Genomic DNA, 22,793 nt, shown 5'->3' with positions numbered 1-22,793 from the left:
TGGGCAGCAAGCGCCGGAGGCAGCTGGAGGGATAGGGAGGCGTCTGTCCACTGGTGGTGAAAACCAGCTCAGGGGAGCAAGCACAGGAGCCTGAGCCTTGCCGTCCGTCTGTTCCCAGCCTCAAGACCGCATGGCGTTACCTTTCCTACCTAGATGTTCTTCCCCACGGAAACTGTACTTGATCCTCTCTTTAGCCTATTTTAGCCACTTGCACATGAATGTCAGGGGATGGAGGAAAGGAAGCCAGAGGAGGCATGGGAGTTAATTTTTTTTATTTTTTTATTATTATTTTTTTGAGACGGAGTCTCACTCTGTCTCCCAGGCTGGAGTGCGGTGGCACAATCTTGGCTCACTGCAAGCTCTGCCTCCCAGGTTCAAGCGATTCTCCTGCCTCAGCCTCCCGAGTAGCTGGGGACTACAGGCGCGTGCCACAACGCCCGGCTAATCTTTGTATTTTTAGTAGAGACGGGGTTTCACCATGTTGGCCAGCACAGTCTCGATCTCTTGACCTCGTGATCCACCCGCCTCAGCCTCCCTAAGTGCTGGGATTACAGGCATGAGCCACCGCGCCCGGCCAGCATGGGCGTTAATTAATATGCAAGTCACTTTTTCTCCCATACTCATCCCAGGCCAGCCCCTCCTCCCACATCGGCTTCCCTGACAGTCCAGGAAGAATGGCTAACAGATACATATAAAAGGGAAGTTGCTTTTCCTTTCAGCTGTTTACATGCATGGTTGGATGTTATACAGAGCTATGAAACTAAAATTGTAGAGACACCTTTCAAAGATGCTTCTGGGCTTCCGGAGGCTCCTTTTTTTTTTAATTTTGCAGATTTCTATTCTAAGAACAGATTGTTGTCATATACTGAACTATGGGCTGTGTTTCTAAAATAAGATTATATCAGAATGATCTGACATAAAAATGAGGTATTTATTTGAGAATATATCAGCTGCTTCCCAAGAATTCATAACAGCTCTGGGGAAAGTCCAGAGGCTACTCAAGGAGATCAAGTCAGTTTAGGTTGTACTTGATTAGTCACAGTTAACCCGCTTCTTGAAAACTATTCTTGGCCAGGCGCGGTGGCTCATGCCTGTAATCCCAGCCCTTTGGGAGGCCGAGGCGGGCGGATCACGGAGTCAGGAGATCGAGACCATCCTGGCTAACAGGGTGAAACCCCGTCTCTACTAAAAATACAAAAAAAATAGCCAAGCATGGTAGCGGGCGCCTGTAGTCCCAGCTACTTGGGAGGCTGAGGCAGGAGACTGGCGTGATCCTGGGAGGCGGAGCTTGCAGTGAGCTGAGATCGCACCACTGCACTCCAGCCTGGGCAAGAGCAAGACTCCGTCTCAAAAAACAAACAAACAAACAAACAAAAACTATACTTTTGGGAAAAACAGGCAAATTTCAGTTTTTAAAAAGTCAAAGTATTTGTTTTAAACAATGAAATAATCGGCCGGGCGGGGTGGCTCACACCTGTAATCCCAGCACTTTAGGAGGCCAAGGCAAGCGGATCACGAGTTCAGGAGTTCAAGACCAGCCTGGCCAACATGGTGAAACCCCATCTCTACTAAAAATACAAAAAATTAGCCAGGCGTGATGGCACGCGCCTGTAATCCCAGTAATCCCAGCTACTCGGGAGACTGAGGCAAGAGAATGGCTTGACCCTGGGAGGCGGAGGTTGCAGTGAGCCAAGATTGTGCCACTGCACTCCAGCCTGGGCAACAGAGTGAGACTCTCTCAAAAAAAAAAGAAAGAGAGAGAGACAAAGAAAGAAAGAGAAGAAGAAAGAAGAAGGAGGAGGAGGAGGGAAGGAAGGAAGGAGAAAGGAAGGAAGGAAAGAAAGAAAGAAAGAGAAAAAGAAAGAAAGAAAAGAGAAGAGAAGAAAAGAAATAATCTAGGCCAGGTGTGGTGGCTCATGCTTATAATCCCAGCACTTTGGGAGGCCAAGGCGGTGGGGAAGATTGCTTGAGCCCAGGAGTCTGAGACCAGCCTGGGCAACAAAGTGAGACCCTGTGTCTATGAAAAATACAAAAATTACTCAGGTGTGGTGGTGCACATCTGCAGTCGCAGCTACTCAGGACCCCGAAGCAGGAGGATCTCTCAAGCTCGGGAGGTCGAGGCTGCAGTAAGCCGTGATCACGCCACTGCACTCCAAGCCTGGAAGGCAGAGCATGTCTCAAACAATAAAAATAAAAGAAATACTTCTATTTATATCTTGGAGTCAAATGTTAAAACCAGTTTTCTAAAATCTTTTGCATTTGTTAATTGGTTTACATGAAATTATAAGAACAATGAGTTTTAATTAATGTAACATCCTCATTTAGTTAACATTAGCTGTAGAATCCTGCCCTATCAGAGAAGCAATGCAGACTGGCATGTTACACAGAAAATTTTGACAAAAGTGAGGAGAAACTGAGTCAACCCTGAGTTGAAATTAACTGAAGTCACTTCCATTTCTTGAGCATTTTTGCTTCACTGTGTTCTCATAAATGTGTGTTGTATGCACTTAGGAGGTATAAATGTGTCACAGGAAAAGGTTGGGAACAGTTTCAGGATATGGTCAAGAGTGTGCTAGGTCCTTAGGCTTCAGCTCACAGCACTGCCTGATGTTACATTGCACCCGGATTCTGCAGAGGAATGGAGGGCTGCAGCAGTCCACGTGGTTTTTACTCATTTGAATATTCTCAGTTGAATGTATACTAGTAGAAACTATTCTATATGAACCAAGATCACAAGCAGACCCGTCTTGCATCATGTAGAGCAGGGATGTCCAATCTTTTGACTTCCCTAGGCCACATTGGAAGAATTGTCTTCAGCCACACATAAAATACACTAACACTAATGATAGCTGATGAGCTAAAAAGTCACAAAAAAAATCTCATATTTTTTTTTTTTTTGAGACAGAGTCTCACTCTGTTGCCCAGGCTGGAGTGCAGTGGCACGAGCTTGGCTCACTGCAACCTCCAACTCCTGGGTTCAAGCAATTCTCCTGTCTCAGCCTCCTGAGTAGCTGGGATTACAGACATGCACCACCACGCCTGGCTAATTTTTTGTATTTTTAGTAGAGACGGAGTTTCACCATGTTGGTCAAGCTGGTTTCGAACTCCTAACCTCAGGTGATCCACACGCCTCAGCCTCCCAAAGTGCTGGGATTACAGGCATGAGCCACCACACCCGGCCAAAATCTCATAATGTTTTAAGCAAGTTTACGAATTTGTGTTGGGCTGCATTCAAAGCCATCCTGGGCCACATGTGGGGCAGGTTAGACAAGCTTAATGTAGAGCAATGCTTCTCAACAGAACTTTCTGCACTGTTCAGTATCATTGCTACTAGCCACATGAGACTATGGGTTATTTGAAATGTGGCTTTTGTGTGTCTGAAGAGCAGATTTTAAAATTTTATCTAATTTTAATTAGTCACGTGTGGCTAGCAGTTACCATATTGGACAAGGCAGGTATAGAGTTTTGACTTAAGTAACAACTATATTTGGTCATTGGAAATGCCACCTCACAGGGAGCCTGGTGACAATGTTCCTCCTAATATTGAGGAGAACTGGCCAGGCACAGTGGCTCACGTCTGTAATCCCAGCACTTTGGGAGGCCGAGGCGGGCAGATCACAAGGTCAGGGGTTCGAGACCAGCCTGGCCAACATGGTGAAACCCTGTCTCTAATAAAATACAAAAATTAGCTGGGCATGGTGGCGCACGCCTGTAATCCCAGCTACCTGGGAGGCTGAGGCAGGAGAATTGCTTGAACCCGGGAGGTGGAGGTTGCAGTGAGTCGAGATCATGCTACTGCACTCCAACCTGGGTGACAGAGCAGGACACCATCTCAGAAAAAAATAAAAATAAAAAAATATGAAGAACCAAAACCCACAACATGTATTTGGGGGAGAATTTATGGATTTGAACACCGCATCTTTAGGGAGAAATTAGTCCTCAGACACTTGCACAAAAGCAAATGCATGATTTGCTTTAGGAATAGTAGTTGGAAAAGGGGATGCAAATGAATTGAAGACAATAAGGCCGGCTGTAATTTTCAATGGCAACAAGTACTTAAGTAAAATGAAATAAAACCAATGAAAACAAGGTCAGTATCACTCTTAAAAAGCCTCCCAGGTATTGGTTGAAAAGTACAGATTAGAGGCTTATCTTCTGCCTATTCTGCGGATGGCCACAGTGCCTTATCATAGGGCTGCACACCTAACAGGACAGAGTAGAAGGTTTTGCTTGAAGTCCCCAGTGAGTTGCCAGACTTGGATTTCACACTCCTTATAAGGAACTGCTAGGTAACTGATGGGTGTGGGTGTGTGGAGAGTGGGCCTACATTTAAAATAAAAAATCTTTATGTAATAGGATTTCTCATCCTTTAGGCAAGTCACTTTTCTGCTTACTACAACCCTAGCCACAGGCAGATGTTCAATACATGCTTCTTTTTGATGAGGAAGAGAATGAAAATCTAATACCCTTAAAAAATGGTTTTCATTGGTATTATTTGCTTCTTGTAATTATTAGCTCTGTATTTACCTGAATGGTCCTACTTTATGTACGTGCATGTCAAAATCAATTAGGCACCACATTTTGTGTGACATTTGTCAATTTACGTAATATTGATACAGCTATGCATTAAGTTGTGGTGTTTAAAAGCCATTCTTCATTAAATAGGAAATCAGACTTTTTTGTTCCAAAAGCTCACAATGAAGTTTATAAGCAAATAAAAATAAAAATTTCTAAATTTTTTTAAAATGATGGTTTTGCTCATTTTTCTGGACTTAGAGAATTTCATTAGCATGGATTTTGAGGGACTAGCTACCCTTAGTTCATGGTAATACCATTTTATCAGCTCAGAGAACATAGACAACAACTTGCTGAGGTTTCTTCTATTTCATAATGGGGTAGATTCCTTTTTTAACCCGGGGTATTGTCTCTGACTGCTGTCTGTTGTAGGCTCATCTCATATGGTTGATGATGCCAGCCCCAATCATGTCCTCCAACTAAGATGTGTCGTTTGCAAGGTTTGCCCTCCGCCCTTACTGCTGAGGGGACAGAAGTTCCAATGAGCCGAGTGCCTGATTGACTCCGACAGCCCACAGTGGGGACTGCACAGTGCTCTGCAACCCCATCCCTGATACACTCCTTTACTGTCACCCTGCAGGCGTTCTCTTCTGTCACCCTCCTTCTCAGGGATAGAGGAAGCCATGACGCAGGCCCTATCTTGCCCTAGAACAGCCCTCATGTTATTAATGTGACCGCACCTCCGTTACTGTCATTTGGCTTAATGGTGGTGACAGCCTTAAATGGGAAACCTGAAAAAGTACATGGAATATCATCTCTGCCTAAGCCCTAAGCTGTGCAACTCCCCGTGGGTGGTACATTTCAGGCGAGAGGAGGAGGAGGTGGAAGAGAAGAAAACTGCTTTTCTTTCTGTCCCTTTGTTTTCTTTTAATTTAGAGTTTTGAGCCTGTTGGGTAAAAGCTATGCCTCATGCTGTACTTTGTGCAATATCTCACGTACTTCTTGTTCTCAGCAAAATGCAAAATAATGATCTGCCGTTCCATTTACAGAAGGATTTCTAGATTTGGAGAGAAATACCTGTTCGTGTTGAAATGGCAAGGAAAAGGGGTACATCATTAGCTTGACAGTTCTCCAGCTCTCAAGTCTCAAGTCTCCCCTAAGAAATCCCAAAGGCCATAAAGCCCCATGCCTAGTCTGAGCAAGTGGAGTCTGTCTTCTTATACCCTTGTTGAAAGAAAGGGAGAGGTCAGTGCTTGAAATCTACCAGATGAGAATATTAAAATAGGAAACTGTAAAAGAATATAAAGCATAGCAAAAATTGTCTTGATCATAAAAGAATAGCTCTCCATATTTTCTTAACATTTCTGTTTTGATTCAAAAAAGAAACTGACTCATCACAAGAAACAGTTTGCTCTTGCACACAGAGTTGTAGCAGCCAGGCTTGATCCCTGGGAGTAGGGACCGCAGGAGTGTGAGCTCCTGCAGCAGGGCCTTGTCGGTTTCCAGGACCTGTGTTAGGTTTTTGCTGTGAGGGATGTCGCCTTTGAATTTGGGAACAGCTAATATCCAGAATCAATTTTTTAAAATCTGAATGGCAGAGAGAATTTCCCACAAGTGTTTAGTGTATGTGACAAAATATAAAGTGAGTTGTCTATTTAATAAGAAATTCTTTTGCTAAACGGACCTCAAAAGAAATGCTTGAAGCTCCCAGCACTCACTCTGCCCTTCAGGGACAGAATTTGCCCTTCACCCACAGCAGGCCTTTGTGTGTGTGCTTGCTGAATGAATCCATGAGCCTATGCAGTTTTCTTCTACCAGTTTTCATCTGTGAAATCCCATTCATCCTGCAAGACCCATTTCAAACGCAGCTTTGAATCCAAAAATGACTTTCTGTGGAAATGAATGGTGCGTGCACATGTGTGTTTGTTCCAGCCTTCTGTCAGCTCTTGGAGGCAGGGACCTGGCCCTATTCCCATGCGTATCTCTGGAATGCTGAGCCCACAGTGCAGGTAATACCTTGCAGAGTGAAAGAGGGCATTTGAGATCCCCTGTGAGACTCACTCAGAGTGGACGTGCCGCACGACCTCTTGCTGGTGACTGGACCTTTCTGTGTGGTGGCTTCTCCAAAGAGGGGACACCAAGCCCTTGGTGCAGGGCCATGACGAGGACTAAAGGAGGTTTGTATGAAGGGGCCTAATGCAGGGTTTGAATGCAGTAGATGCTTCTAACGTACCAGCTCCTAGTTCTTGCTTTTTTCCATCGTTTCGCTTAAAGCTCTTACCTAGAACTTCACCACCATTGAGGATCACAGAACCATTTTTTCTTCCCAATGAAGAAATAGTTTCAAAACAATTCTGAAGATCTCAAGTCTCAAAGAGGTTATGTGCCTTAAGGCCCTCGGCTTGTCAGAGGGCAGACCTCCGTGGAACATGGTCTATTGCAAAGGACCAGCTTTCTTCAGTATCTGAAATATGTTTTTGTTATACTATCCTTGAATTGTGTTTTTGATTTTCTGTTCTAGTCTGTGCTTTCATCTTTGTTTTAAATTTGAATTTGAGTTCAAGGCTCTTCATCATCATGTCTGATTGAAATATAAGATGACAAATCTAGGGAAAATCAGGTTGCCACATAATCTAGCACAGTTATTTGCACATGTATGCTTACAATATAAGTACCTCTCTAACCCTACAGCATACTAGAGTTTGTAAGAGAAAAAACAAGCAGAGCTGACTGTGTTTTGGACTGGTAATGAAATGGTATCAAGGAGTCTTCCAGCTGACAGCCTCATAGGCCTTCCTGCAGTCACCATTGTGTCCCCCGCTGCCTACGAGGTTTCTTCTTCCACAGCCCACCCTGTGTAAATGCCTGGCCTTCCTTCTGACAGCTGTGTGCTGTGTGTTCAGACCTGTACTCCTTCAAAATACCTCAGAAAATATGGAAGTATTTCTAAGGCCTTCCATTCAAAGAAGAGGCATAGGCGCTCTGTAATTGTTTAGTAACTTTTTTTTGTTTATACTTCTCATGTCTTATGGCAATAAATCTATTTTAATGCTTTTGTACAGCTTGGCTAGCCAATGGTTCAGTTATCTGTTGCTTTGCAAGAAACTTTGTGGATTGTTGATCATTCTCCCTCTTGGTTCTGTGAGTGGGCAGTTCTCCCTCGGGTCTCTCTTGGGGCTGCAGTCCGATGACGTTAGGGCTGGACTCACGGGAATGCCCAGTGGGGCTGTATGCCCAAGACGGCTTTTTCACGTGCAGCTTGGCGCCTCAGCTGGGTGGCCGGGCCAGCTGGGGCCGTCTCCTACGTGACTAACGCACTTCCTCATAGGAAGGCCTCTCCAGGCGGTTGCGCCTCTCCCACGGCAAGCTTTCCCAGAGGCGCAGGTGGCAGCAGCAAGGCTTCTGATGAGCAAGTCTCAGAAAGCCAATGGCTTCGCTTCTCCTACGTTCACAGAGAGGGGGCTACACGGGCAAATCATAGCAGGTTTTGCCCACGAGGGCATGGTGGGAGTGAGGGGAGCTGGAAGGAGATGTCATTTTTGATTAGCTACCACAGCCGGAAAAACCAACTGTATATATTTTCCCATTTTATAACGTTTGCACGTTTATTAATATGTCTAATTTTATAGTTACTCTCAGAATTTTTGAGGTCTCTTTTATCTCACTTCCTGCTTTGCATACGTTTTTAGGACTGTGTGGGTAATATCCCAAAAGTTGGTTAAATGAGCCTTGAGTTGCTGACAGAGGCTTCTGTTACCGTCTCTAAGTGAGTGTTCAGTGCCGTCTTTAGAGGAGTATCTTTCCTTTCCTTTGTCCAGTGAGAACACAGCGGAGTATTCAGAGCTTGCCTCTGGGAAATGCCTCCTCCCTGCTCTCCAGCTAGCGTTGAGGAGGTGGCTGGAGGAGGGAAGCCCTCTGTGTCCTGGGGCTGGCCGCCAGTTCCCTCGTGACCTTGGGCCAGTGATCACACATGCTCGGCCTCGGTTTCCTCTCTTTGAATATATCAATCAACTTGTTAGCTTTATTAATGTCCTTTATCTTCTCTTCTCTTTGCATTGGCCCTCTGTTTAAAATTGGTCTTTCTAGTCCATAAGCAGGTGTAAGAGATAAGCTGCTGTTTCGCAGCAGGCTCCTGGGAGCACAGGTTGTGTTACTGAGGCAGAATCGTTAGTCTTCCTAACATCCCTGCAGGGACAGTTCTCCTGACAGGAATTGATAAGGGCACATTATGTAAAATCTGGAGGGCAAGCCTTTCCCTTTTAGGTCAACACTCACCCGCAAGCTAAAAAGGCTAATCAACAGAAGCATTTTCTGTGTTCATTCCAGAGAATTTCCCAGGGGCACAATAAATCTAGCCTGCCTGTTTACAGGAACATTGTTATTTAACAAGCTAGTTTCCAAGCTTAAGAGTTTTCGGTTTCATCAAATCTAACCCAGCTTGCTAAATGCCTGACATTCATTATTGTCTGCTCCGGTTCCTCTGTGTATTATAAGATAATTTTGCATACTTAATATAAAGATAGTTTTTACACACAGGACTAACCTTAAATTTATTAGAAAACTATTCTAAACTCTTGGATCCCTTTCTCTTTTTTTTCTTAACCATTTACCTATGATTCCATCCTGTCTTTAACCTGCCCACTAGTACTTCTAGCTAGCTAGTTTATCTGATTTACACATTCAGTAATTTATTTGTTCATCCATCTAATGTTATTTTGAGCCTCTGCTCTGGGCTATATAAATGTGATATTAGAAAGAGGAAAGGGACAGGCACAGTGGCTCACGCCTGTAATCCCAGCACTTTGGGAGGCTGGGCGGTGGGGGGCGGGGTGGTGGATTGCCTGAGGTCAGGAGTTCGAGACCAGTCTGGCCAACATGGTGAGTCTGGCCAACATGGTGAAACCCCATCTGTACTAAAAATACAAAAAAATTAGCCAGACGTGGTGGTGGGCACTTATAATCCCACCTACTCGGGAGGCTGAGGCAGGAGAATCACTTGAACCAGGGAGGTGGAGGTTGCAGTGAGCCGAGATCGCGCCACTGCACTCCAGCCTGGGCAACAGAGTGAGACTCTGTCTCAAAAAAAAAAAAAAAAAAAAAAAAAAAAAGAAAGAAAGAAAGAAAGACAGGGGAAAGGATATCGTTCTGCCTTCAAGATGCTGGAGTCTAGTGAGGAGGCACAGACCCTTGGCAGGTGGAACAGGGCAGCGGGTGATGCGGTGTCTGTAAGGTGCCTGTCTGATTTGGCTTCAAGGGACTGATAAGTCGCCTCAGCAGTCACATCGTGGGGTGTGGGGTTTAACCTTGACCACAGTAGGAAGGATGAACTTGGGATTGCATTACTTCTTCTGGAATCTGGACCTTAGTGCAGAACCTTGGGTAGTGGGAGTTTAGGATAAATTATTTGTGGCTCAGGGATTGCTGAGATACATGTTTTCTAAATTTTGATAAACACTGCCAAATCTCCCAGAGATGTCACGTCTAACACACACTCCCTTCAATAGTATCTCAGTAAATGTTTTCCCAGGCCCTCCCTAGAGTTTTGCCAGTGTGATGGATGAAATAAACAGTATCTCTCTAAATTAAGGAAGCCAGCCCTTTGTAGCTGTGTTGAAATATTTTTCCTGTTTGTTGTTTGTTTGACTGTTGTGTCCTGCATAGAAAGAGACCATGCCCCTTTGAGATTACTCACACATTCGCTGTTCACCCTCGCTTTCTCTTATGGCTTCATTTTTACATTTGGAAAACTTGATTCATCTGAAATTAATTTTGGTATAAGGAGTGAGATCGGAATCTGGCTTTATTTTTCTCAGATGGTTACCTAGTTGCATGAAACACATTTATTAAGCAATCTCTTTTCTTGAAATGCTGCCTTTATAATAATATAATATACCTTTATTGTATACCTTTATAGAAAATGAAATTCCCTTATATATTTTTAATTTGTTGTTGTGATCCATTGAGCTGTGTCGATTATTTCTTCTCCAGTTCCACACTTTTAATATGGAAGCTTCAGAATGTGAAGATTTATTATCTGTCTGCTAGGGCCAGTTTCTGCTCATTATTACTCTTTTCAGATTTTGCCTGTGCCAAAACCTTTCTTTTCAAAGTTTTGCAAACTTTGTTAGCAGTAGCAAAATCTTTCTCTTATGTCCCCAGAACTGATCTTTAAGGGAAGTTTCAACAAACTTAAAACTTGGGCTATTTTGTTTAGAGGGTTCATTTTCTTAAGAAATACGGGAACCCAGTGGATACCAGCGCCATTCATGATCTAACTGTTTCATTCTCTTGGTTTATTTTTTCCTTCCCTTTCTTCCTTTCCATAAATATTTATTTGACATTATGTGGTAGACACTGTGCTTGACTTGGGGATTGAAAGGAGAACTCAACAGTCCTGATTCATTTATTCATTTATATTATAGTGAGCTTAGCCTTGGCCTCTAGAACGCTGAGAGCCACACAGGCATGCGTGGACCAGTATTAGAGCTCACATGTAGATTTTATATGAAGCCACAACACTGAAAAGGGAAAGAAGCCTCCTCAGCTCCTGTTTCTGTATTTTATCCTAAGCTTTTGCACAACCATTGAGCAGAGTTAGCCACCTCCTAACTGACCAGTTATTTTTAATGCCCGGAAAATTACAAAGAGGGAATTAGGAGCTATTGCCGCTGATTTTTTCCTTTTGAGAGAGGGTCTCACTCTGTCACCCATGCTGAGTGCAATGGCACAAAACATGACTATAACTTTGAACTTATAGGCTCAAACGATCATTCCACCTCAGCCTCTGAGTAGCTGGGATTATAGGTGCATACTACCACGCCCAGCTGATTTTTTTTTTTTTTTTTTGAGACAGAATCTTAATCTATCACCCAAGCTGGAGTGCAGTGGTGTGATCTCAGCTCACTGCAACCTCTCTGCCTCCTGAGCTCAAGCCATCCTCCCACCTCAGCCTCCCAAGTAGCTGGGACTACTGGCATGCACCACCACACCCGGCTAATTTTTGTACTTTTTGTAGAGATAAGGTCTTGCTATGTTGTCCAGGCTGGTCTGGAACTCCTGGGCTGAAGCAATCTGCCTACCTTGGCCTCTCAAAATGCTGGAATTACAGGCATGAACCACTGCGTCCAGCCTTAATTTTTAAAATGTTTTGCAGGGACAGGGTCTCACTGTGTTGCCCAGGCTGGTCTTAAACTCCTGACCTCAAGCTACCCTCTTGCCATGTCCTCCCAAAGCCTCCCAGAGTGCTGGGATTACAGGCATGAGCCACCATGCCCAGCCAATTCTTCTTTAAAATGTTTTTAAAACAAATTTTTTACACACTGAGATAATTTTTAAGGGAATATACACACCCAAGGAGCTCATAGAGAGTTGAGAACTGTATTAAAAGCTCCCACATAGTGGCAAGGGAAAGAAATACTTCCCCTGACATAGCACACATGGGCCACGTTGGAGCCAGCAAGGCCCAATGTGAAAGTGAGACAGGAAGCAAGTTACCTTCTTCCAGGGAGGGCTGCTTTTACTTGAACAGACAGTTTTACTGTTTTGCCCTTGTTGCCTTTTGTGATGGTTATGACCTTATCAAAACCATAAATAATTCATTTTTTTCAGTTGATTTCTTGCTCATAAAGTGCCATTTGCTTTGACAGTTAAATGACTTCTAATATTAGCCACAAACAGCATGTCTGGTCTGAGTCTCGCTCAACATCGATGGGTTGAATTTTCTCGTGTCCAGGAATGTTCCTGTGTCAGTCAGAAATTGCTCTTTCCACCTTTTACATTTTATATACTACATAATTTATCTTATTTGTCTGAAATAAATGTCTTAAGTCCAGTTCAATGGATTCTGCAGGAGAACACAGAGAACACAGAAACAACTGGAAGCATAGGCATCTTTGAGTACCCACGTGAATGAAACTGGAACTGAGTGAAGACGCGCTCAGGCTCAGTCTGAGTATCTTTCTGAGTGCTCAGGGTGACGGTGGCTCTTGTGGGTCCTTGTGTGCTGGGGGCCATCCCGCTGTCTTCCTGGTTGTCTCAGGTTAGGGCGGCCCCTGGAAAGAGCCTGCAGATCTCCTTCTCCAGGTTCCTGACAGCTCGGTCTCCAGCCAGACGGCCTCGTTATTTTTTATTAAACATACCTTACCCCTTCAGTTAATTTGTTGTTGTGAAAGACAAATTATATTTTTTAATGGATCAAAAACACCAGAATACTTTCCAGACATTCCGGGGTATTATTTTCTGATGTGACATTTGACTTACATAAAAGCAGCCTGTTTTTTTTCTGCATAAATATACAGTAAGGACAGCTTTTGTGATATAGTAAATAAAATCCCACACAAATTCCACATGACATACTGTGTGGGGAGTTCACATAATAAAATGAAGAATGCTGCCTATTTGTTTTCCAGTGAGTGTGGAGTTTTCATCCTTCCCTGCATCTGCCAAAGCCATGTTCAAATACAGAAATGATGTATTCAAGCAGACTGATTTAAAATGGACATTTTTCTTCATAAACAAAACACACTGTTTATTGCAACCATCCTTTATGTTTCAGTAAGGATGAAGACAAGCTGTAAATATAGTTAATGACTTAAGCTAATGCTAAATTTGTGACGGAAAAATGTGTTGAAATTTGGGTGGGTGTTGCCAGAAGGAACAAGAATGCGGGGAGCAGGACCAGGTGACATGGGGTAAAATCATGCCAGACATAAACGCAAATTTCAAAGAAAAGATTTAACAGAGAATTAATATGCTGCTATTTTTGAAAAGGAGAAGGTGCCATATCACTGAAAGAAAAAGAAAAAGTGCTTAAAGCTGCATTTACATCAAAGTTTATGTCAGCTCTATGTTTCCTTTCTTCCAAGTGCCCAAGATGAAAGTATGCCTTTATGATTGTTAATTGCAGATTTATTTCTGTCTCATTACAATCAAGGGCAGAAAGCTTCTCTTAAATAGCTTGTGTTCCCTGTCTCCTAGCACAGTGCCTGGCGATTTGAATTGATCTCAATAAAACTGGGTACATGTTTCTCTTAAACACTCTACTTCTATTTCTTTAGCTTTTCAGCTTGTCTTAACTCACCCCTCACTTTTCCACATTCACCTCGCTTTATGTGACTTTTTTCTCCAGCCAGCTTTTAATGGACCCTCTGGTTCATTTGATATTTATCATGGTGTCCAGCCCAGATCCCGCACATTGCTCGGTGCATGTCCATCTTTGCTAGGCCTCCTTGCTCCAAGCCTCCTCAGGAGAGTAGTATTCCTCTGGATGCATGTGAGAGGTTTGCAGATGTTCTACATATTTATGCACATGAATGCAGTTCACTCATTTGACCAATATTTGTTAAAATAATTTTTACAAATCAAAAATGCACTTCTTCGGAACTTGATCATATTCTAAACTCCCCTAGGGTCTTAGAGATATGGCAACTTTCCTTCCTTGTAAAAATCACTCTGGAGAAGTTAAAAGAAGCAGCCCTTTATGTTGGGAAGAGTATTATTTTGAGGTTGCAGTGGGCCTGGCAGGGTAAAATTTTTAGCAATGTGGAGTGGAATAAACTGCAGAGTTTACATTAACATTTGTAAGAATCACCAGCTGCATTCCCCATGCTCTTAGGCTTTAAATTGGTGCTGTTTGTTAATATCTTCGTGGCATTTGCTACTGTCGGTAACTGTTGAAAGAGTAATTCTCGTCTTATCAGAAGGATTGGTGTTGATTTGTGTAGCTAAAACCAAGAAAAACAGTCTATTCTTGTCCTTGAATAGTTTCCTGGTCCTGTTACGGATTGCTTATCCTGTTAAAATTCACTTGTAGATTTTCAACTCAAGCAAATTATAAAGCTTTTGGCTCACAGGAACGTTCGTGGTTTCTTGAACCTTCAAATCACAGAATTGGAAGGGTACTCTTAGTGTGTCACTCCCACAGAAGAAGAAAATTTAGCTGCAATTTTGCCTTTTATTATCAATAAATATGTTTTAATTTTAGAAAACAGTTTTACCAACAGAATATAGGTCTTTATAAAGCAAAACACTTAAAATAAATAGTAGCATACAAATGTTCACCCTCAGTACTGAGTAAGGCCAAGAAAAAAGCGTGCCAAGTATAAAGGATCTGTAGGACAGAAAGCCCCCCACGTAGCTAACTGATAAGAAAGGTGGAGATAGTGATAAGACAGACAGGAACTGGAAGCCTGTTCCTGCCAGGCCCACAACATGCCAGCACCACAAAAAAGATCCAGAAATGTGCAGAGGTCAACTTCCAGGTTCCTTCCTCTACTGCCCTTTTTCCTCTTATATGGGTGAGATCCTTTTGCAGTTGAACCCGGCCCAGATGCTTGCAGGTAACTGAAGCTGAAAAGAGCTAATAGATAACAGTGTTGACGGTAGGAAACCTGTACAATTCTCAATAAGCCCCTGCCATGGGTTAGGAACTTTGTTAAGCTCTTGAGTTACTAAGCTAAATGAGATGCACAGTCCCCACCCTCTAGGAACTTACACTCTGAATAAAGACTTGAGTGAATGAAGTTCAAAAGAAAATAAAATATTGTCTTGGAACTAGGGTACTGACTCCCGGGTTCACCCAATTCTCCTTCCTCAGCCTCCCAAGTAGCTGGGATTACAGGCACACACCACCACACCCAGCTTTTTTTTTTTTTTTTTTTTTTTTTTTGTATTTTTAGTAGAGACGGGGTTTCACTATGTTGGCCAGACTGGTCTCAAACTCCTCACCTTGTGATCCACCCGCCTCGGCCTCCCGAAGTGCTGAGATTACAGGTGTGAGCCACCGCGCCCGGCCGGGTACAACTTTTTAATTTTGAGAAATATAAATCCTTTGAAAGATACCAGTTGAAGACAAAAGTAATACTGTATCATTGGCTAGCACCAGAATCCTTAAACAACTTTGGGAAGTTGAAGCCTATGGTTTAAAAGAACCTTTGCTTCCTAGAGAATTGGAAGGTCTACTTTACAAAGCTTCAGCAGGAAAGAAAACACAGCTCCCAAGACATTTTAAAAGACTATGTACTTTTTGTTACTTCCATGAGAGGCCATGAACCAGGAGGGCAAACTGTTCAGAGTAGCAAGTTCAGCAAAAGCTTTGTCATCATTCTGGGGGATGGGGTGTGAGTTAGGCACATTGAAGTCCAGAGACGAACATCACCCTGTGTTCTCTACCACCAAAGAGCAGCACTGCCAGCCCACTTTCTAAATTGTGCTGAGAGTACATGTGCTCTTCTCTGTCTACATCATCACTGCCTTAGTTTAGGCGTAGGTTGCAACTGAAATGCTTACCAGGGCCAGGCTGGTAACATAAATGGGTGCCTCTGCCTGGGCGAGCCTAAAGAGGGAGTGTTGTGGTTGTGACACCCCAGAGAGAGCTTGCCTCTGCCTCCTCCCCAATCAGGAATTCAAGATGCTTTAAAAACACTGTTCTAGCCAAACAACACATATCTGCCAGCCGCATCTGAGAACTCGTTGTGAGCTGAGGACTCTGTTTTTAGGCTCTTGTCATGACCTTTTGCAAGAATCACCTAAACCCTTCCTCCAGCCTCTACCTCCTGCAAACCATCGTCCATATTGCAAGCAATCAGATTTATTTATTTATTTATTTTTTGAGACAAAGGCTCGCTTTGTCGCCCAGGCTGGAGTGCAGCGGCACGGTCTGGGCTCACTGCAACATCCGCCTCCTGGGTTCAAGCGATTCTCCTGCCTCAGCCTCCCAAGTGGCTGGGATTACAGGTGCCTGCCACCACACCCAGCTAATTTTTGTGTTTTTAGTACAGATGGGGGTTTCACCATGTTGGCCAGGCTGGTCTCGAACTCCTGACCTCAGGGAATCCGCCCACCTTGGCCTCCCAAAGTGCTCGGATTATAGGCATGAGCCACCGTGCCCAGACAAGCAATCAGATTTCTAAAGCACAGATCTGGTGGTGTCATTGCCTTGTTATAAAAACCGATCCCCAGCTGGGCACGGTGGCTCACGCCTGTAATCCCAGTACTTTGGGAGGCCGAGGCGGGCGGATCACGAAGTCAGGAGATCGCGACCATCCTGGCTAACACGGTGAAACCCCGTCTCTACTAAAAATACAAAAAAATTAGCCAGGCGTGGTGGCAGGCACCTGTAGTCCCAGCTACACGGGAGGCTGAGGCAGGAGAATGGCGTGAACCCGGGAGGCAAAGCTTGCAGTGAGCCAAGATCGCACCACTGCACTCCAGCCTGGGTGACAGAGCGAGACTCTGTCTCAAAAAAAAAAAAAAAAAAGAAAAGAAAAAAACCTATTGCCTACCTCCCAAGGGCAAATGCAGCCTGGTGTTTGGCTCCAAGTCTGCTTCAGCTTTGGCTCCCATCACTCCGCTTTCCTTTTGCCTCAACTTAAGATCTTGCCACATGTACACTTCCCATAACATTCCAGCTGAGAGGCTTTTGTATACGAGGGGTTTTTTTTTGTTTGTTTTGCCTAGAATGATCCTCCCTGGTGAATCTTAGCTTAAATCACCAGGCAGTTAAGCAGGCTTTTCTCTATGATTTCACCCCCACTTTGTATATTTCTGTGATTAGTCCTGAACATCCCATGTTGTACTGTTTACCTCTCTCACTGGACTTAGAAATTCTGAAGAACAGAAACAAAAAGTTTTCTCTTTCTCTGTATGTTCTTTTTTTGTTGTTATTATTATTGACTTGGTATATCTTCTTTCAGATGTATTTTCTTTTATTCTCAACACAAAGTAATTTTAACATGATCTTTCTGGGCCAAAATTTTCTTATCTGTAAAATGAAGATGTTGGACTAGGATTCAGTGCTTCTTAACTAAAGAATTCAATAGATGATGCTGGGACAAGTGTATATCTACCTGTAAAGGAATGAAGTTGGACCCCTTCCTCATACTATACACAAAAATTAACTCAAAATGGATCATAGACCTAAACATAAGAGCTAAAACTGTAAGACTTTCAGAAGAAAACACAGGAGTAAGTCTTCATGACCTTGGATTAAGGAATGGTTGCTTAGATATGACACCAAAAACATAAGTGACAAAAGAAAAAAAATAGGTACAATGAGCTTCATCAATATTTAAAACTTTTGTGCTTTAAATGATACCGTCAGTAAAGAGAACAGGCATTCTTCGTATTCCCTAATCTCCCCCCATCACAAAATAAATAAATTGAAAAGACAACCCACAGTGTGGGAGACAATGTTTGCAAATCCTATATCTGAAAAGGGTCTAATATCCAGAATATGTAAATAACTCTTATGAATCAACAAAAAAAAGACAAGCCAATTAAAAAGTGGCAAAGGACTTGAGTAGACATATCTCCAAAGGCAACATACAAATAGATAATAAGCACATGAAAAGATGCCAGTATCGTTGAATCCCATTTATGCCTAGCGTTCCACTACTGGAATGCTAAACCTGTGGGAGTTATTTATATCCTACTGCTCAAGGTCATCACCAAGGTCTGATTTTTCACACGTCTGCAATTCAAAAAATTGCAACCTCCCTCATAAATGGGTTAATCGTCAGGAAGTGCAAATCAAAATCACAATGAGATACCACTTTACGTCCACTAAGATGGCTGTAATCAAAAAGAAGAGCAATAGTAAGTGCTGGCAAGAATGTAGAGAAATTGGGACCCTCATGCGTGCTGGTGGGAATGTAAAATAGTGTCATTGCTGTGGAAAATAATTTGCAGTTCCTGAGCAGTTTGCAGGTCTATGTTAAACATAAGAGTTGTCATATGAACCAGCAATTTCATTCCTAAGGGTATATACCCAAGAGAATTGAAAACATATGTCCACACAAAATGCATACATGCATATTCACAGCATTACAGGCATACCTGAGATATTGCAGGTTCCATTCCAGAACATCATGATAAAACAAATGTTGTGTTTTGCAATAATGTGAATCACACAATTCTTTTCGTTTCTCAGTCTATATAAAAGTTATGATTACACTATAGTGTAGTCTATTAAGTGTGCAGTAGCATTACATGTAAGAAGAACAATGTACATACCTTAATTTTAAAATTTTGCTAAGAAACGCTAACAAGGTGAGTACAGGCCATTAGAAAAATGGTGCCTGTCGACTTGCTAGATACAGGGTTGCCATAAACCTTCCATTTAAGAAACTCAGTGTCTGCAAAGCTCATTAAATCAAAGCACAACAAAATGAGGTATGCCTGCATTTCCTAATAACCAAAAGATGGAAACAGCCTAATTGTTCATCAGCTGAAAAATAGACAAACAAAATGTGGTATATCCATAGTATATCCATACTATTGTTCACCCATAAAAAGTAATGAAGTATTAATACATGTGATACCACATGGGGGAACCTTGAAAACTCAGGGTAAATGAAGGAAGTGAGTAACAAAAGGCCACATATTGTATCATTCCATTTATATGAAATGTTCAGAATGAGCAAATTTGTAGAAACAGAAAGTAGACTAATGATTGCCAGGGACTAGGGAGTTGAGGGGGTGATCCTAGGGCAAGGGCGAAGTGTCTTCTGGGTTTTTAAGTATAACTGTGCAAATCCAAGGGTGCCTCTGGACTACTTGAAGACGGAATGGACAGCATAGGTGTCCTGTAATTACTTTCTGCTCCCTGGAACCAGGGAACAGGAGTGCAGAAGGGGAGGTGCAATAACACTTAAACAGTGAAACAGGATTCCAGGGGGAGAGAAAGAAAGCGCTTACTCCTGAGTCAGAGTTTGGGATGTGGTCAGGTCTGGCAGCAGACTCTGTGGGCTCTGACTCCCAGACAATCCACCAAAAACTCTAGGCAGAAGGTCTGGGCATTCCTGCCCCTTGAATAGAGGTAGCCCCAGTAAGAATGCAGAGAGGCTGACAGTCAATGTGGAGGCTCCCACCCACAGCTCCTGTTTGAGGAAGTGGCTTTGAACCCGGTTCCTCAGAGCTGTTGGGTTTCACAGCAGCACAAGGCCTCCTTTTTCCTTTTCTCCCCTCTTTCACTTTTATCCTGAGTATACACAGGAGATTTCATTTGAGGAAAACATCCCGGTTCCTAAAATATCTGAAAATCATGGAGGTGATTCAGGAATTACACATAAATGCTATGGTGCCTTCCAGTCAAGGGATACTAACAGCGTTAATGAAGAGAATTCTCTAGAGAGCAAGAACAATTCTCGGAAGAAGCTGCTTGTATTTTCAACTTAGAGTTTGTGGAAAGCTACCTGTGATGGAGAGGACCAGGCTGAGAAGGCAAAGGAAGCTGGACCCCTATTTACTTCCTCCAGCCACTCCCCAACCCAGATTACCTCCAGAGAACCACGATGGCTCTGAGGAACCCGGTTTCACAGCCACTTCCTGACAGGAGCTGTGGGTGGGAGCACCCACAATGACTGTCAAACTCTGCCTTCTTACCGGGGCCACCTCTGTGCATGGGGTGGGAAGTCCCATCCTTGTTGCCTAGAGTTTCTGGTAGATTGCTGCGGGGTCAGAGTCCAAGATTTCATAATCAGATGATGGAGACCTCTCTGATGCCTTGCACTTTGGGTTCTGTTTTCCCAAAGCTCTTCTTAATATTTGACTTTGTTTTATTTTATTCTCCAAAGTAGGTTTGCTTATAATAGAAAATTTGGATATTTTCTACAGCAGAAGATACTACCATAGTGTCTCATCAGTCAAAGATAATAGATGCGAACACTTTGATCATTCCGACCTTTTGTTCTATATATAGGTTTAAAATGTTTTATATAGTTATGATTAAACTATAAGTTAATCGTTTCTTTCACTTAACAAAATAACATACTTTTTCCTTGTTATTACAAATAGCATGTTAATGCTTAAGTAACATTAATGTAACTAATGTCACTTAAATAGTCCACAATCAATCCTCAGTTATTGGACATCCATCTGTCTAAGAGGTTTCTATTGCTAGAAATAATTCTTCAGGTTGGGCACAGTGGCTCGTACTAGTAATCCCAGCGTTATGGGAGGCTGAGGCTGGAGGATGCCTTGAGCCCAGGAGTTTGAGACAAGCCTGGGCAACATGGCAAAACAAAAAAACAAAAAATATACAAAAATTAGCTTACCAAAAATACAAAAATGGTGGCACAGGCCTGTAGTCCCAGCTACTTGGGAAGCTGAGGTAGGAGGATCACTTAGGCCCAGGAGTTTGAGACAAGCCAGGGCAACATGGTAAAACCCTGTCTCTACAAAAAAAATACAAAAACTAGCTGGGCACGGTGGAGTGTGCCCAGCTAGTCCCAGCTACTCGGAGGCTGAGGTGGGAGGATTGATTGAGCCTGGGAGGTTGAGGCTGCAGTGAGCTGTGATTGTGGCACTGTACTCCAGCCTGATTGACAGAGTGAGACCCTGTCTCAAAAAAAAGGAAAGCAATAATTCTTCAGTGGCTATCTGTCTTCAGAAGCACTGTATCCACATGGCCTTAAACAGTGCCTGGCACATACTAGGGACTCAGTATATAATCATTGGATTAATATTTATACCTGCAGCGTTTCCATATTTTTTAATTTTATTTTTGAGATGAGTTCTGGCTCTGTTGCCTAGGCTGGAGTGCAGTGGTGCAATTTCGGCTCATTGCAACCTCTGCCTCCTGGGCTCAAGCTATCCTCCCACCTCAGCCTCCTGAGTAGCTGGGACCATAGGCATGCACCACCACATCTGGCTAATTTTTGTATTTTTTATAGAGACGAAGTTTCGACATGTTGCCCAGGTTGGTCTCGAACTCATGAGCTCAAGGAATCCATCCACCTTGGCCTCCCAAAGTGTTGAGATTACGGGAGTAAGACACCACAGCTGGCCTGTTTCCATAGTCCTGAAGGCAGAATTACTGAGTTAAAGAAATGGGGTCATCTTTAGGCTGGGTGCGGTGGCTCACGCCTGTAATCCCAGCATTTTAGGAGACTGAGGCGGGTGAATCACCTGAGGTCAGGAGTTCGAGACCAGCCTGGCCAACATGGTGAAGCCCCGTCTCTACGAAAAATACAAAAAATTAGCCAGGCATGGTGACTGGTGCCTGTAATCCCAGCTAGTCCGGAGGCTGAGGCAGGAGAATTGCTTGAACCCAGGAGGTGGAGGTTGTGGTGAGCTGAGACCACACCATTGCACTCCAGCCTGGGCAACAAGAGTGAAACTCCATCTCAAAAAATGGAGTCATTTTAAATATAATAAAATGTACTCATTTAAACATCTTTTAAGTAAGAGAAGAAACCCATAGAGGAATATTGGAGTGTCTCCCAGTCCCCAAAGGCAAGAATGCATATTGGCCTTGGAAAAAGGCTGGAACAGAGAATTTGCATGACATCAGTATTCAGTTCTGCATCATTTATGTCTGCCCTCTTCACATACATATTTTATTCTTATTTGTCTGTAAAAAGGCCTTCCCTGCGCTTCTTGTCCATGTGGCAAGAAGAAAGATGACCAAGGCTTGAGGCCCGATCCACGTAATATAAGAGAAAGAATGGTTGAATCAGGAGACCACCCAGCAGGTGTCTACTACATACGTAGGCCTTTTAACCCATTTCCTGTTTGCCCTGAGAAATGTGTGCTGGCAGCGAGCTGCATTTTTTTTTTCTAAACAGGAAATGGGTAAGATATGTAAATAGAAACATCCTTAAAAAAAAAAAACAGTATCCATTCAAGAAGTCTCTCATCTTCTGGAAGCTTGTCATATTTATATGCTTAAGTCTGTATGTCTTTTATAACTTCTCTAATCCATGTCATATTTAGACTGGACTCCCCAATATAAGATTATAGAAATATTATTCTTTATTTTCTTATAGTATAGTTGTCCCTTGGTATATATGGGGGATTGTCCCAGGACCCCCTTCAGATATCAAAATCCATGGATGTTCAAGTTCCTTATATAAAATTGAATAATATTTGCATATGACCTGCACATACCCTCTGGTATATGTTAAATCATCTCTAGAGTACTTATAATATGTAATACAATGTAAATGCTCTGTATATAATTGTTATATTGTATTATTTAGGGGATAGTGACAAGAAAAAAAGTTTGTACATGTTTGGTACAGATGCACCCACATTTTTTTTTTTTTTTGAGACGGAGTCTTGCTCTGTCACCCAGGCTGGAGTGCAGTGGCACAGTCATAGAGACGGGGTTTCACCGTGTTAGCCAGGATGGTCTCGATCTCCTGACCTCGTGATCTGCCCGCCTCAGCCTCCCAAAGTGCTGGGATTATAAGCATGAGCCACCACACCTGGCCGCACCCACATATTTTTTTAAGAAATATTTCTGATCTGTTGTTAGTTGAATCCACGGATGCAGAACT

General features: G+C 43.0%; 1 protein-coding gene across 11 annotated transcripts in view, besides 3 other annotated features; it reads left to right on the top strand.

The window, feature by feature from the left end:
• Window positions 1-22,793, top strand: part of TJP1 (tight junction protein 1) — a 269,683-nt gene that overhangs the window by 89,631 nt on the left and 157,259 nt on the right. The gene's annotated exons all lie outside the window — the stretch shown is intronic.
• Window positions 408-590: a silencer, noted in NCBI's record as "fragment chr15:30171032-30171214 (GRCh37/hg19 assembly coordinates)". NCBI's record gives its function as "represses an EF-1alpha promoter that drives an FKBP-Casp9 reporter gene in an ReSE screen in HepG2 liver carcinoma cells {active_cell/tissue: HepG2}" and the evidence as "EXISTENCE:reporter gene assay evidence [ECO:0000049][PMID:32094911]".
• Window positions 6,012-6,511: an enhancer, noted in NCBI's record as "H3K27ac hESC enhancer chr15:30165111-30165610 (GRCh37/hg19 assembly coordinates)". NCBI's record gives its function as "activates a minimal SCP1, AML or CMV promoter by ChIP-STARR-seq in primed H9 embryonic stem cells {active_cell/tissue: H9 hESC(primed)}" and the evidence as "EXISTENCE:reporter gene assay evidence [ECO:0000049][PMID:30033119]".
• Window positions 6,512-7,013: an enhancer, noted in NCBI's record as "H3K27ac hESC enhancer chr15:30164609-30165110 (GRCh37/hg19 assembly coordinates)". NCBI's record gives its function as "activates a minimal SCP1, AML or CMV promoter by ChIP-STARR-seq in primed H9 embryonic stem cells {active_cell/tissue: H9 hESC(primed)}" and the evidence as "EXISTENCE:reporter gene assay evidence [ECO:0000049][PMID:30033119]".

The sequence above is a fragment of the Homo sapiens genome, chromosome 15 (assembly GCF_000001405.40).
Source record: "Homo sapiens chromosome 15, GRCh38.p14 Primary Assembly".
NCBI classification, from domain to species: Eukaryota; Metazoa; Chordata; class Mammalia; order Primates; family Hominidae; genus Homo; species Homo sapiens.
The sequence above is the reverse complement of the archived record's forward strand: the minus strand, read 5'-3'. Positions and strand labels throughout refer to the sequence as shown.